The sequence below is a fragment of the Homo sapiens genome, chromosome 2 (assembly GCF_000001405.40).
Source record: "Homo sapiens chromosome 2, GRCh38.p14 Primary Assembly".
Taxonomy (NCBI): Eukaryota; Metazoa; Chordata; class Mammalia; order Primates; family Hominidae; genus Homo; species Homo sapiens.
The window spans coordinates 71,453,080-71,467,693 of record NC_000002.12 but is presented as its reverse complement, the minus strand read 5'-3'; the positions used below and the strand labels follow the sequence as shown (position 1 = coordinate 71,467,693).

General features: G+C 54.1%; 1 protein-coding gene across 14 annotated transcripts in view, besides 2 other annotated features; it reads right to left on the bottom strand.

Moving 5' to 3' along the window:
- The window catches only part of DYSF (dysferlin), a 233,203-nt gene extending 219,070 nt beyond the window's left edge, over positions 1-14,133 (bottom strand). For 7 of the 14 annotated variants that reach the window (NM_001130979.2, NM_001130981.2, NM_001130980.2 and 4 more), the window contains exon 1: positions 13,608-14,133. In NM_001130979.2, coding sequence (NP_001124451.1) covers positions 13,608-13,695 — 88 coding nt within the window. In that variant the 5' untranslated portion in view covers positions 13,696-14,133. Of the gene's footprint in view, positions 1-760; positions 996-13,607 lie in introns of those variants that run through there. The other 7 variants (NM_001130982.2, NM_001130987.2, NM_001130985.2 and 4 more) reach the window with 1 other exon arrangement.
- Positions 12,577-13,425: an enhancer, noted in NCBI's record as "H3K27ac-H3K4me1 hESC enhancer chr2:71681399-71682247 (GRCh37/hg19 assembly coordinates)". NCBI's record gives its function as "activates a minimal SCP1, AML or CMV promoter by ChIP-STARR-seq in naive H9 embryonic stem cells {active_cell/tissue: H9 hESC(naive)}" and the evidence as "EXISTENCE:reporter gene assay evidence [ECO:0000049][PMID:30033119]".
- Positions 13,426-14,275: an enhancer, noted in NCBI's record as "H3K27ac-H3K4me1 hESC enhancer chr2:71680549-71681398 (GRCh37/hg19 assembly coordinates)". NCBI's record gives its function as "activates a minimal SCP1, AML or CMV promoter by ChIP-STARR-seq in naive H9 embryonic stem cells {active_cell/tissue: H9 hESC(naive)}" and the evidence as "EXISTENCE:reporter gene assay evidence [ECO:0000049][PMID:30033119]".

Sequence of the window (14,614 nt, the reverse complement as noted above, 5' to 3'; positions counted from 1 at the left end):
TTCTCTTAATTTTGACAGATCCTTCCTCTTCCCTTTCCCCTCCTGAGACACCCGCTCCAGTGGGAATCTGCCTTGGAGGGGTTGGGGGAGGGGGTTCAGGACGCCTGGTGAGAAGAGGAGTGTGTGTGTGATTTCTCTGCTGCCCCACACAGAAATACCTGTATGTATTCTAAGCACTACATGTAGGGACTTAGCTTCTTGAATTTAGAGAAAATATCCTTGACATTCCTCAAAACTCCTTGTGTCAAGGCCATTTCCATCCTATTCTGTTCCTTTTCCTACTGATTAAGACGGGGCAGATTCAATACAGCCAATGTTGGATAAAGATGGGTGAATGAATGAATGAATGAATGAAAAAAGACACAACTTTCAAAGCACATCATCTACACGCCCCGTTTTTCAGAGGCCCTGATTCCTCTCTACCTTCTGCACCCATCTTCCAACTTACCCTTATCCCCACTACCCAGTAAAAGCTCGGACTTTATTTCCTCTGGGTGTCAGTCTTAGAAAAGTGATAACCGCTGACCTACGGCACTTTCGCTTTTCCAATTTTTCAAAGCCCTGTGGCATTTATTGTGCTCTGCTTATTCCTCATCGCCCCCCTGCAGAAGTCGGGGCTGGGATTTCCGTCCCTGCTGACAAAGGGAGAAACTGTGGCCTGGACTAGGGTTAGCTCCGGAGCAGGGGCTTCAGACCCGCCAGTGAGCGCCGAGAGTCGGGTAGCACCCGAGCATGGGCGCGGCAGCCACGGGGCTCTCACCTCGGAAAGTCAGGCTTGCGACAGGGTCGCTGCGCCGGTCCTTCTTCGCACTGGGGAGGTTGCTGGCCCTCACCAGCAGGCAGCACAGCATGGCTGGGCAGCCCCGGCGGCACACAGGCGCGCAGTCAGGGCGGGAGCGGGAGCACCGGGCCCGAGCACCCACCCAGCAAGCGCCCGGCTCCCAGGCAGCCGCGCCAAGAGAGCTGTCGCCTTCGCTGCTCCTCCGCGGAGAAGTGACCAATGCCTGGGAGAGGCTGCAGGGAGGACACCGGACACCCGCTGGGCGGACCCTCCCCCTCCGGCCCCTACCCAGATCCGCCCTGCCCGCGGCGGGCGGGGAGGGACAGGGGTCAGACGGGCGCCTGTGGGGGTGCTGGTCCCTAGCTCCGCGGGTCCCAGCTCCCGGCCAGGAACGAGGCGCCGCTGACGCGGGCGCGCAGCTCGGCCTCCGAGAGCGCACAAGGCGCCGTGGGGCCTGCTCCGCGGGGGCCTCCGGTGACCAAGGCTCCACACCAGCCAGGGATCCCGGGCCCGGTGCGCACCGGTGCCGACTTGGCAGCCGCCCTGTGCGCTCGACGAAAGGGTGAGAAGGAGGCAGGAGTGCAGGCGGAAGGAGTGGGCAATCAGCGGCGGGGACGAGAGTGTGTCTTCGGGGAAACCAAGTCTGAGTGAGCGCTGAAGGGGGAGTGTGCGGAGCGTGCCGTGCACCCCGAGCCCCCCGCCTCATTGCCTCTCGCCTCTCTCCACCTGCCCCATGATCTGCGCCAGGGAGCCGGTCCTCTCCCGTCCGCAGGCTGTCTAGGTGGCCGTTCTGGTTTGCTGGGACCCCCGGGTCGGGAGAGACTCCGAGGTTCGAGTCCCCACCAACCCTCCTCGGAGCCTTCTCCGCAGCGGTGTCGAGTCACTCATCTCTGGAGGCAGAGATCTGTATTCAAATCATACTGCGTTCCCTGGAGAACTAGGGTCCAGCTGCGGCCCATTCTGTCCCCTGCAAGTCCCCCATCCCCAACAATCTCTACACTCCCTAGTCTCCACAGTGGAAAGCTGTTCAAGGTGTAAGCCATGAACGGTGACAGTCGTTTCGCTTATTATGTCTGGTTCCTTTCCAGCGTATGAACTTCTTGACACAGGGGCCCTGGCTTCGCACTTCTATCCCCCAGCACTCCAGCACCTAGCCCCTGTCAGGGCACTGTCCGTCTTCCCACCGCCCAAGTCCTCACTAACCAACCTGCTCACTCAGCCTAAACGCACTGCTGCGCAAAATCTCAACTCCCTTTCCCCTCTCTTATTTTGAGGGATACAGCATTCTCACAGGGCTAAGCCATAACCCTGGCGAATCCAACTCCGCCTCCTCCACACCTGCCCCCAACCAGTGCTGTGTTGGAGAGTAACACAGCCGGCCTGAGTGGTGCCTTTTGTAGTCATGACCCTTAACTCAAGCGAGCCCTCACTGCTGGGGGCAATCATACTATATGTCTTGTCTCCCTGTCTCCCGGATGCCCCTAGGACACCCCATCGCCCAACCTCACTCTCAGTTTGCTTCCTCTTTACGGAGCAGAGAACTTCTTCAGGTCCCCAGTCTCCTTCTAACGCCCGCCCTCGGCATCTGTGCCCAAATCCTGTGAGTTCTCTCCTGTTCCTACAAATGAATCACCCGTACTCCCCACTGGTAACAACTGGACACTTGGGCATAGACCCCATCCCCTCTCGCCCATTCAGTGGTGAGCCTGCAGTGATTCTCTCACTCTCTTGCCTTACCAAGTTCCCCTGTTTACCGGATCATCCCATCGGCACACAAGCATGATGTTATTGCTCTCAAGAAAGCACACCGTTGACCCCACATCCCCTTCAGCTACTGGTCATTTCTCCCTTTTCACAACAATGCCCTTTGAAGGAGCTCTCCATACTTTCTGTCTCCAATCTCCCTCCTCCATTCTCTCTTGAACCCACCCAGTGACACCTTCAACCCCACCAGGTCACCAAAACTGCAAATCCCCCTCCCACTCTCCTTCAAAATATGTCCAAAATCCCACCATATCTCACCATCTCCATTGTAACTGCCCCCAGTGGAAGCCTGTCATCCCTTGCCTGAGTCATTTAATCGACTCCATGGACTCCCAATGCGTCTCCTGCTCTGCCCTTGTCCCCATGGTCTATCCTCAATTCAATTCTCATGACCTGGTTCTACTCAAAGTCTTCCGTTGGCTCCCATCTCACTCAGTGCAAAACTCAAAGGCCTTACGTGACCTTGAAAGCCCTGGCTGACCTCGCTGACCTCCTCTCCAGCCACTCTCCCCTTACGTGACCTTGAAAGCCCTGGCTGACCTCTCTGACCTCCCCAGGACCCATGCTAGCCTTCCAGCTGTTCCCCAGACAGGCCAGACCAGCGCCTCCCCAGGGTCTCTGTCAGCTGTTCCCTCTGGCTGGCATGTCTTCCTTTCCTTCAGATATCAACTCCAGTGAGACCAACCCGGCCACACAACTGAACACCACAACTTTCCCTCTTTCATCTCCCTTTCAGGCTTCTTCTCTAGCACCAATCACTGTATAGCACATGTGTCTTAATTGTTTTCTGTCTTCCCCATCAGAATGTCTGCTCCAAGGAGCCAGGGGTTTTTGTCTGTTTTGTCCACTGCTGTTTCCTCAGTGCCTGAAACAGCACCTGGTGCAAAGCATGGTCTCCATAAATTCTTTCTAAATGATGGACTGAAAGAATAAACATTCACCCATCACCTCTGACTTGCTGGGAATAAGTCACATCCCTGCCCTCAGGGAGCTTCCAGTCAAGGGGTAGAGACCACAGAGGGTGGCAACCACATCTACAGCTCCCAAGAAGTGGAAGGTCGGTAAAGGACAGAGCTAGGATGAGCATGGGGGTGGGGAAAAGGAAAGAGAGGAGAGTCTGAGCCTGTTCTCATCACAACGCCTTCTCTAGCTGCTTGGACCCTTGCTGCTTCCTCCCAGCTCTACCCTTCTCTTCTCCCCTCAAGATGAGGCGGACATTTGATTCCCTCAACATCCATCCAGACCCCCTTCCCTTCTAGCAGAACCTGACTGCTCAGTTATGCAGCCCCAGCTCCAGGATGGATCCCACTCTATCTGAGCATATTTCTTGGCAACGGCTATTGGTCTAGCTAGAGGTATGTGTCCTAAGTTGTTCCCCTGGAAAGACAGATTTATATGCCATGAATAGAGAAGCCCAACTCCCTCTCCTGCTTTGTGTGCATAAGGAAGCTTGCAGATCCAATTGCTGACCAGTTGAGGACATAGCAGACATCATGGACAGCAGATCAGAGAGAAACATGGAGCCTGCCTGGGTACAGGATGATACTATGGAGTTGCTGGCAGCAGCGGCCCATCTGGAGTGGCCACTGCCAAGACGTGGGCTGCAGTGGAGAGTCTGGCCAGTGTTGTGCACTCTGCAGAGCCGGTGGGGGCTGGGAACAGGTGGGAGCCCCGCCCCCTACCAAGTTGGTGGGGTGGGAGCCCCAAGCTCCCAGGCACAGCTGCAGCCGTTTGGCTGCGGCCCCAGATCCAGGCATCCCTGCACTCTCTGGGGCCCAGGAAGCTTGCAGGCTCAGAAGTGCCTTCGCCCCATCTCTGGCCTCTCCCAACTCCAGTCACCCACTCCAGGGTGGAGCAAAGTTGTGTCCAAGCCCACATGCTGTTGCAACCCAGCCAGATGTGTGCACACTTGTGGTGGCACTGAGATGCCAGCCCCCTGCTGCCTCAACCCCCTCCAGACTTTGAGCACTGACAAGCTCAGGAGGGAAGCTGAGGGGTAGCTCCACCTGGAACTGCAAGCACCCCTCTGCATGAACAGCCTAGGTGCCCTAGACGACATGTTGATGGCAGCAGGAGGCAGACAGGCTCCTGGGCAGAAAGGGGTGGGTCCTCAGTGAAACCCCACCTACAAGCCAGGGATGGCCTGAAGCCTGGGGGCTGGGCTGCCAGTTCCAGGTGGAGTCCTCAGCCCAGAGTGAGAACTTATGGTGCTTTTTCCCCCAGCCTGCTCCTGGTCACCCATGGACCAAACAGCACACACTTCCTCCCTTCTGAGCCCATAAAATCCCAGGACTCAGCTAGACTCAGACAGATGTTGGGACTACCAGGTACAGGAAGGAACTACCCACTCCAGGTCAGGTCTCCTCCACTTGTCGGGAAGACCTGCCTGCGGTGACGAGCTACCCTATGTGGGTCTCCTCTCTGCTGAAAGCTAGACACTTATCAGGAGGACCTGCCTGCAGAAAGGAACTACCCACTTCGGGTTTCCTGAGAGCTGTTCTGTCACTCAGTGAAGCTCTCTCCACCTTGCTCACCATCCAGTTGTCTGTGTACCTATTCTTCCTGGACATAGGACAAGGACCCAGGACCCACTGAACAGCAGGACTGAAAGAGCTGTAAGACAAACAAGGCTGAAACAGCCTGCCCCCCACCCCAACCCTGCTCGCCATGTTGCAGGCAACGAGAACGAGATAAAGCTTCAGCACTTTGGGGAGCCCAGACCTAGGGGTGACATGGCTGTGACACCCTCTTTGGGGCTCTGCAGTTCCTGGTGCCTCCAAGCTTCTGGGCACCACCACATTCCCCAGTAGCCACAGTGGAAGCCCCTTCCAGTATGCCTGGCCCAGCCGCAGCCTGGCACAGAGCCAGTGCCTGTACCAGCACCTGGAGCTGCCTGCCCCACCACAGCTGGCATGCCTGGCTGTGCGCAGTGGCTGGACCCTGCACTCACTCACACACCCCTTGCTGTTCAGTGCCTGGCTCGCCCTTCGCAGGCGTGGGATCAGGGCTGGTACTGAGAGCTGAGCACAGCCTGCCAGGCTGAGTGGGCAGAAGGAGCCCAGTGGGCCCAAGCAAAATTCAGGCAAAGGTGCTACCAGCCACAGAGGTTTCCAGCTGGAAAAAGCAACACCCTTAGGATCCTGTGACAGAGTTGTATAGTCTATATGCCCAGAGCTCACTGGGTCTCTGGACACCAGTTAAGTGAGCTGATCCCCTTAAGACTACTTAGCATTTAATAAATTGATTTTCCCAAGGCTTAAACATGGGGTGTCCAGGAGGCAAACAAACCTTGCCTCTCTGCTCATTTAAGTCTATTTAAGCCAGGATTTCAGTTGCTTGCAGCCTAAATCATCCTTACTGACCCCTGTGACTTTGGTACCATCTGTGTGCCCACAGCATCCAAGTGACTCCACCAAGTCTTACCACCACCCTCTCCTGCCCAGGCCACTGCAGGTGCCTCCTAGCTGGTCAGTCGCCTCATCACATCATCACTCTGGCTATGTCTGACCCATTATCCACACTGCAGCCAGGTGATCTTAAATATGATCAGGTCAATCTCCTGCTAAAAGCCTCTTGGGAGGTTTATCCAAAGGCCTCCTGTGCTCTTGGGATGAAGCCCAGATTCATTTCCTCGGGCCAAAGGGCAAGGCCATTCCACCTCTCGCTCTCCTAGCTCTAGCTCCGGTGCCTCGTCAGTTTCTAGAATATGCCAAGCTCCCTCTCAGCTCTGAGGTCCGCTGTTCTCTCTGCCTCCAGCTGCCTTCTTCTCTTTCTTTGCAGAACCACCTATTCATACTTCAGGCCTCAGCTTAAAGATCACCTCTCCAGGAAAGCAGTCCCTGATATCCTGGGGTCTAGACGGGTCCCTCTGGCAAATGACTGCACAGCAGCCCTTTTCCTTCTTAGCACGCATCACAATGGTCAGGAATAACTATTAGCGTAATCACCCGTTTCGTGTCTAGCTAGACTGTGGAGTTGGTCAACGAGGGGAGAGACCAAGTCTGTCTTAGTGACCCAGGTATTCCCAGCGTGTAGTACAGGACTGGCCTGGCATTGGTATAGTGGACACTGCACGTGGCTCCCGGGTGTGGGTTCTGCCCACTGGTGAGTTCAGCCAGTGGTTCTCAAAGGGGATAGTACTGCCCCCTAGAGGGACTTTTGGATATTACAAAGCTTTTTTTCTTTTTCTTTTTCTTTTTTTTTTTTTTTTCCTGTCTATCACAATGATTCCTGGCTTTGCTTTTGCCCCTATCATACCCCACCCTACCCCAGCTCCAGTCCTTCAGAGTCACCACAGGAAATGGAAATCTGTAGGGGGTATAACTAATACCTCCATAGGAACATTCCAAGGGACTTCTGCCTTCCCTTGGCTTGCATCCAAGGAAAAGGGTCTCCCCACATCTGTTCTGCAAATCAGAAAAGCAACTGCTGGTGATCTGACCCCTGGACACTTCCTGAGGCCTCCTTTTCATCCCAGCCTCCAACTTCCTAGTCTGGCTGATGTTCACTGACCTGGACTTCTCCCTAATCAGATAACTGACTGTTCCCTTGCAGACTTCATACTGAGGCCTAGTAACTCAATAGGGCTTCCTCCCGAGGGGACATTATCAGGAATTAAGTTCTAATGGAGAGTGTGGCTGAGACCTGACCTCCACCTCCCAGTATATGTTCTCCCCTTCATCCACAGAAATTTTCCACAGCACTTTACTTGGGTACATGGTCACCCAAATAAAAACATTTCCCAGCCTCCCTCATAGCTGAATGTAGCCAGGAGACTAATTGATGACCAACAGAATATGAGCAGAAGGGCTGTATATAACTGCCTGGATATGTCCTTAAAGGGAAGCGGCACGCCTCCCCGGCCCCCTTTCCCCTCTGGCTGGAATATAGACAGAGGCGTGCGCCATCATGGACCACGTTGTCAAAGGGAACTTCTGGGGATAACAGAGCAATAAAACAGGAGGAGCTGGGGTCCTGGACAGCCTGTGGGTCAGAGTCTTACCAGTCAGGACTGTCTACATTCAACTATTATGTGAGTGGAGAGACCATCATGCTTATACCAATGTTAGTTAGGGCTTGTTTACAAATAGCTAGATCTGCATCCCACCTGAGGCTTCAGGTGAGGGCAGCTCCTCGGGACCCCAGGCTACTCCAGCCCCACTGTAAAGGTGATGGGGCCAGCTTAGGAGCCATAGCCTGGAAGGAAGGGCTTGAGGGGCCTGTTTGGAAACTGAGTTTCATGCTTATTGCAGTGTTTCGGGGCTGACAGAGGTTAAGGGGGAAGGGGACTAAAGCTCTCCCACTCACTCCATCCTGTAGTCACTGATGACAGGTGCTGCCTGATGAGCCCAAGGGAGAGGACACTGGCTCTCTGCCCTCCAGAGAGCCCAGGCCCAAGGTCTCCAGGATTGAATGAAATACTGTGTCTCAGAAGCGGTCACTGGTGTTCTCTGGGACACATCCAGCCCACAGACATGTTGTCTTTAATCAGTACAATGTTTTATAACAAAATTGTACCTTAAATATTAGAAGACTTTTCCGTATAAATCTGGATTTACAGCTTCTCTTGAAAAAAATCAGAGAATGTGGCACCTGGGCCTAGATTTTCCACCTAACACTGACCGTCTGGCACCTGTAGACCAGGTGTCCCCCCCTCAGCTCACTCCCAGTATGCACATAGGATTTCCCCTCCAGCTTGATCTTAGTCCACCTGCCACGTTTCTGGAAGTGCATGAGTTTGTGACCCCTGTCACTACTTATTTGTGGCCCTACCTTCCTGACCATCGAGGAAGGCATGCTTCTAATCATCTCTTGCTGCTGGAGTTGGGCCAGTTCTCCTCTGGCCACATTCTCCTAATGTTAGCTGGTCCTTTGTGTTTCCCAAGACTTAAACATGGGGTGCCAGGAGGCAAACAAACCTTGCCTCTCTGCTCAGTGACACTGACCTTTAGAGGAACATTCTACATGAGTTGACAGGACTCCTTCAGGGCATATTTGTCAATGTCCAAAGGCTTCCGGAAGTATAGATGAGGCCTTCTTCCCTCTCCCTTCACATTCATTTAAGAATATGTGTCCGGCGGATATCCCAGTCCACCAGGTGGAATTGACAGGGGACCTGTGTATCCAGCAAGAGGGTAGAACCCACATGCAGTCCTGGTTCTGACCACAGCCATGATTAGGGCCTGTCAGGGGAGAAATCGTGCATAGTGGAAACAATCAGACAGTCCTGGGCTTCTGTCCCAGGCCACCCTTTCCTAGTGGTGTGACCTGAGGCATGTGATTGGACCTTTCAGTGTCTGTTTCCACTTCTGTGCAATCAAAAGAATGAGGACAGTTTGCAGCGGTGTTGGGAGGATTAAACAAAACACTAGCAACTCCAGCACAGTGCTTGGGGCACAGCACATCCACAGTAGATGTGAACGCTCTCTCTGCTAACATCCCATGCTAGTGGACCAATCTGGAAAGAGACTAGCATGCAGGAAGTAGAGAAAGAAAGTGAGTTTGGCCTGGGGAGAGGGACTGAAGAGGTTTGTGGGCTGCTAGTGAGTCACCAGAGGAATACTTGTTCCCAGAAAGAGAAAGTACCCCAGTGAGGGCCACTGCCAGCCATCAGGCAGGTGGCCAAATGACTTCGCCTCAGAAGGGACTGCTCTAGGAGGGGCAGCCAGAGAAGACAGGCCCAGTGTCCCTGGGGGCAGACAGACGGCCACCCACCACTTGGCCTGTTGTGTCCAGCCTGGCAGGACAGTGGATGGAGAAACAAAGCTGAGGATAGAATTCACCAAGCAAAAAAGACATTGAAAGCCTTTGTGGATGTGTACAATTATTTCTTAGTACATGTACAATATATGTTAATAGTAATGATTATAATAAATTTATGTAAAAGTATATGTAATAATTATTATAGTTAACATTTATTGCTTGCCTGGCTGTTTGAAGTGCTTTATATGGACTAACACATAAACTCTCCAGAATGATTCATCCAAAGCAGGTACAAGCTATTGTTATCAACACTTTACAGATAAGGAAACTGACACAGAGTGGTTAAGTAACTTGCCCAAAGCCACATAGCTTGAAAAGTGGCAGACCTGGGATCCCGAGTTCAAGATGCAGGCAGTCCTTCTCTCCCTCTTGTTCGATGCTGTTATCCCACTGGACTGTGACTCAGGCTGCCAGCTAGCCGCTCTTCTGAGCCCCCCGCCCAACTTTCACTTTCTCCTAGACTGGCTAAGCTTGAGATCTACAGTTACATGACCCCCTCCCTGGAAGTCCCGGAGCACCTGCCATACGCACCACAGGTTGCCCACCTCAGTGCCATGTGACCATTGCCCTGGCCTTGGCTTATCAGACCCTAGGCAGCCACCATAGTCCTGTCAGAGCTGTGAGCTTGCCCGGAACGAGAGCACTGCCTGGAGGGAGCGTCCTGCATCAACTGGTGACTGATTGGTCCTATCAGATATAGAGAGGGTGAGGCAGAGAGCAAGGACCCCCTGAGATAAGAAAGCATCTGCAAGACCAGAACATAAGGGCTGAGGATGTCTGTGCTTGGGTGAGCAAGCAGCAGTAAGGACCACGCACGTGATGAGAGGAGTCAAGGTGCAGACCGAGGGGGGCATCAGGGTCTCAGCCAGGCCTGGGTTCAGGTCCTGCCCCTCCACCTTTTCTTGCTTGTCTTTGGTAAATCCAAGCTAAAGCCAGAGGTAGATAGCAGAGTGGTTAAAGCTGGGGATATTGTGGGGGCTCAGGAGCCAGATACTTAGACTCAAATCATAACCCCACTACTTACCAGTGTATAACCTCAGGCAACTTACTTAACCTCTTCATGCCTCAGTTTCCTTATCTGTAGAATGGGAGTGATGACAGTTGCTACCACATATGCTTGCTAAGAGGACTGAGGTGTATATGTCTACATATAAGGACCTGGTACAAATTATAACCGGGTCATGATGTAGCTTCTATTAATGTTCTAGTTAGAACAGTATCTGCCTTAAAATAAGCATGGTGTCAGTTAAATAGATCTCTTTCATAGGACTGTTGGTGGGATTTTCAAGAAACACCACCTGACAATGGTATGCTTTTGTGCTTAGCAAATGTCCATTCCCTCTGTTTGTGAGGAACACGCATTTGAAACCCCAGAATCCTCCATCTTTTGGTCAATTGTTTCACACCATGCTCCTGCAGCCCTGCACTCCCCCTACTCTGACTCAGCTTCTTGCTGGGGACCCCAGGCACCACCCTCCCTGGCTGGCTCAGGTCCGAGTGCCCTGGTGCCCTGGGTGTGGGCAGCATATGGTATGCTCTCCAGAGCACTTTCTTATTCATGCACCAAGGATACTGAGAACAACAGAGGGCACTGATGAGGGGTTGGGGGTGGGGATGCTGTGGCCACTATGTGACCTTGGCCAGGCTCCTTCACTTCTCTGGGCCAATATCCTTATCTTTAAGGGGGGATAATATCTTTGCCCTCTACCTCACAAAGCTTCTGTGAGCTTGCAATGAATGTATACATGCACAAAGGGGCTGTGAAGTGTGGCTACAGGGTATTATAATCATGTAACCAAAGGAGGGGCTTTATGGGACAACAGATAGAGTCTGGGAAGAGCAGACCCAGCCCAGCTGGGGAGGGAAGGCTTCCCAGACTGGTGTTTTGCTTTGAGCTGCATCCCTGAGACCGAAGTCTTCTGTGTAATCATTCACCAAGCTGACCCTGCCAGGGAGAAGGAGAGCGAGCAGGCCTGAATGTCACAGGGAGGCCAAATTTGGACATGGGTTAGGAGCTTGGCTAATGCAGGACGTGAAATGTGGCCAGGGGCTGGGGGAGGGGAGGGACTGCATTCCCCAGGACTGCCTGGCGGTTTCAGTGATGACCAGGGGTGGGGGCTCCAGCCAGTCTCTTCCTAGGCTCAGGGGCTCATGACGGATTGGCACAGAAAATGTACTTCCTTTCCCCAAGGTGAGCTGTGTGCTCTGGGCCCTGGAAAGGGGGAGCCTACCCCGAAGAGCCAGGCAGCAGGCAAAAAGCAGATGGGGGTGGGGAGAGGATTCAGCCAGGGATGTGTAAATGGGAGGATGCAGGATGGGGGGAGCTGCTCCACACACAGGCCCTTGGGGCTGAAATAACAAAAGAAAAGCCACACCAGCAGCACTTCCTGCACTTCTGGGGTTAGAAAGTGCCTGCCATTTATTATTCATTCTTTCCTTTCTCCAACCAGAGGTCTGAGCCTAGCCTGGGTGAGGGACCATGAGGTAGAAGCCTAGTGTATTGAGTGTATGGGGGTGCAGAGGGGGCATGTGGTCAGGGAAGGTGGAAGAAAATCTGGTTCAGGCTGAGTGGAAGCCAGAAACAAAGCCCCTGACAGCAGGGGCTGCTGCAGCTGAGTGTACATTTGGAGCACCAGCCCCCAGGTTCAGGGGCTATAAATGGGGAAGAGGTGCTGGCGTGGGAGGAGGCTGCTTCACCCACAGAGTGCCTGTCCTCCCTCCCCTCCGCCAAGGGGCTATTTACAGTATGAATGGTGCCCCCTGGAGTTGTGCACCAGGAGCCCAGAGCCCTCAGCCAGGCTGCTGAACAGGGCCACTGACCTGGCCTGCCCAGAGCTGAGGATGCGGAGAGGAAGCATGAAAGACTCCCATGTCCTCCCTGCTGGAAACACCTGGATAAAGCTCATTTCCGGAGGCCACGTGGGAAACTGATTGAGAGCAGATCAAAGCAGCACGTTAGGAAAAAAAGCACAGCTGGAGTGCCACAGCCACCCCCTTGGTCCCCACTCTTGGTGTACACTGCTTTCCAGGCCTCAGGACCATTCAGCAACTCCTCCTCAAGCTCTGCTCTGGTCCAACAAATCCAGAAGCCCTGAATCTCATACCCAAGAGAAGGTACTCATGACATGATCCCTTGCTCATGCTGAGCTGGACACAGGCCTGTGCTTTCGGAGCTTTTATTCCTTGGAACATCACAGGTGTCCCACACGCTCCAGGGTGTGCATGTGCCTGGGATCATATGTGCAGATGGTGTCTGTGAACAGGTGTATCCAGGAGCTTGTGAAACTGTGCTGAATGGCCAGAAACCAACTAATGCTATGATTTCTGGAAGTCTGGGATGTAGTTAGAAGTCAGATCTCTGGGGAGAAGGGGAGTGGCAGGTAGTGGAGGCTGAGAGGAAAACCCACAGGCTGGGTGGGAGGTTCACACTCTTTCCCCCTAGTTCTTCTCCCCCAGTATGGTTCCAAGCCCAAAGACCCAGCTGTGTAGATCCTAGCTCTGGCTTGGTCCTGAAGGGTTCCTGGAGAGCAGCCAGGGCCCAGCCCTCAGCTCCTGGAGGAAAAGTCAAGTCATAACTCTATGAAGGCCCTCCTATAGGAGGTCCCAATCTGATAAGGGAGTGGCTTCCCTGCTCAAGGAGGCCTCACTCTGATGATAGAAAGCAGATACGACCCCCGCTCCCTCCACCCACTGGTCCGTTGGGGGCAGGGGTTGGGGGCAGAGAAAGTCTGTAAAGGTTGGTGCTGTGACAGCTGTGCCCAGCTGCTAAATTTCCCCCATCCTGTGCGCAAAGCAAGGGTAGGGTGCCTTCGCCTCCAGTGGCTGCCAGCCTGCCAGGCCAGCCTCTGAGAGAGAGCAAAGGGCCAGGAAAGCAGCCAGGCGCAGATCGGGGCGGGAAGAGAGCTGGGTTATAAATAGGCCTGGGACCAGACCTTCAGGGGAGAAGGAGGAGAGCCCTGCAGTACAGCGCTTCGCCGCCGGCAACGCAGAAAGACCTCTTTTCAGAGATCCCGAAAAGGTGAGAGGAGAGATGCTGGTCCCACCTTCCTGGCCTACCTCAGTACCAACCTGGGCTGAAGCTTCCAGGAGAAGCGCCATTCAGACACCTCTCTCCTTCCAGCCTCAGTTTCCCTCTGAGTCGCCCTCTGCAGACCTGTGTCGTTGCAACACTCAACGTCAGTCTGGCGGGGCCAGAAAGTCTCCTGTCTCTCAGCTCTAGGTGCTCTCCAGGGTTGAGAGCCGCGGCGTCCCCTCCTCTACCCCACCCCGACCCCGGGCGAGGGTGGTCGGCCCCTCCTACCTGCAAACACCGCGGAGCAGTAGGCATCGCTGATGTCGGTGTCGGGTGTGTGGACGTTCTCGGCATAGAGGATGAAGACCCTCAGCATGCTTGGCGCGTGTAGGGCCCCGTGCGCCCAGGGCGCAAAGAGGGCTCGGAAAGGTCGGGAGGGCCGAGGCGCCGCTTGTGGGTCCCCTCGCTGGAGAGGGCTGGCTGGGCGAGGCCGGCTCGAATCTCTGGCTCCTGGCTTAGAGCAGTTGCTCTTAAAGGGGAACGGGCCACCCCCGGCTGCTCCAGTGGGCTAGGCTGGGTCCCCGCCCCGGCTGCGCTCACCCCGCTTGTCAGCCGGCGTTCCGAGAACAGGGGCTTCTGCTCATCTTCCACCCCCGCCGCCCTTCCCGAGCTCCGTCGAGCTGTAATCTAATGCTCCGGCTGCGGAGTCTCCCAATGACACGGCATTTTGCACCTGGCTGGGCGGCGGCCGCGATGGCCGGGGGCTGGACTAGGGCTCCGGGCGCCCGGCGTAGCCCAGATCTCGCTCTTGGACAGGAGAAAGGCTCGGCTCCTCCCCTGAGCTTCTACCCCCTGGCTGAGTGCTGCGCCAAATCGGTTGCCTCCTTCCGCCTCGGGGATTGGAGCAGTCTCTCCAGAACTCAACCCGACCGCCCGGGGTAGGACGGGGGATCCTGGGGAGGCCTCTTTCCCTAAGAGAAGCCTGGAGTTGAGAATTTCATTGACAAGCAAGGCAGCTGCCTTAAAAACTTTGCCCCCTTTTTCTGGCTTTAAAAGCAACACATGCCATTTTAAAACAAAAAGCATAAAGAAAGAAATCTCTGGTTCTGAAAAAATAGTATATTAACATTTGGGTATTTGGCAGCCCAGGCTTTCTCCTCTGAATGTATACACACATGTAAATTGCAGTATTTATTATATATCTGAGTGTAGAATGCAGTCTGTGTCCCACGTTTTCATGTAACATCTTACATCATTAAACAATTATTCATAAACACTATTTTCAATAGCTATAT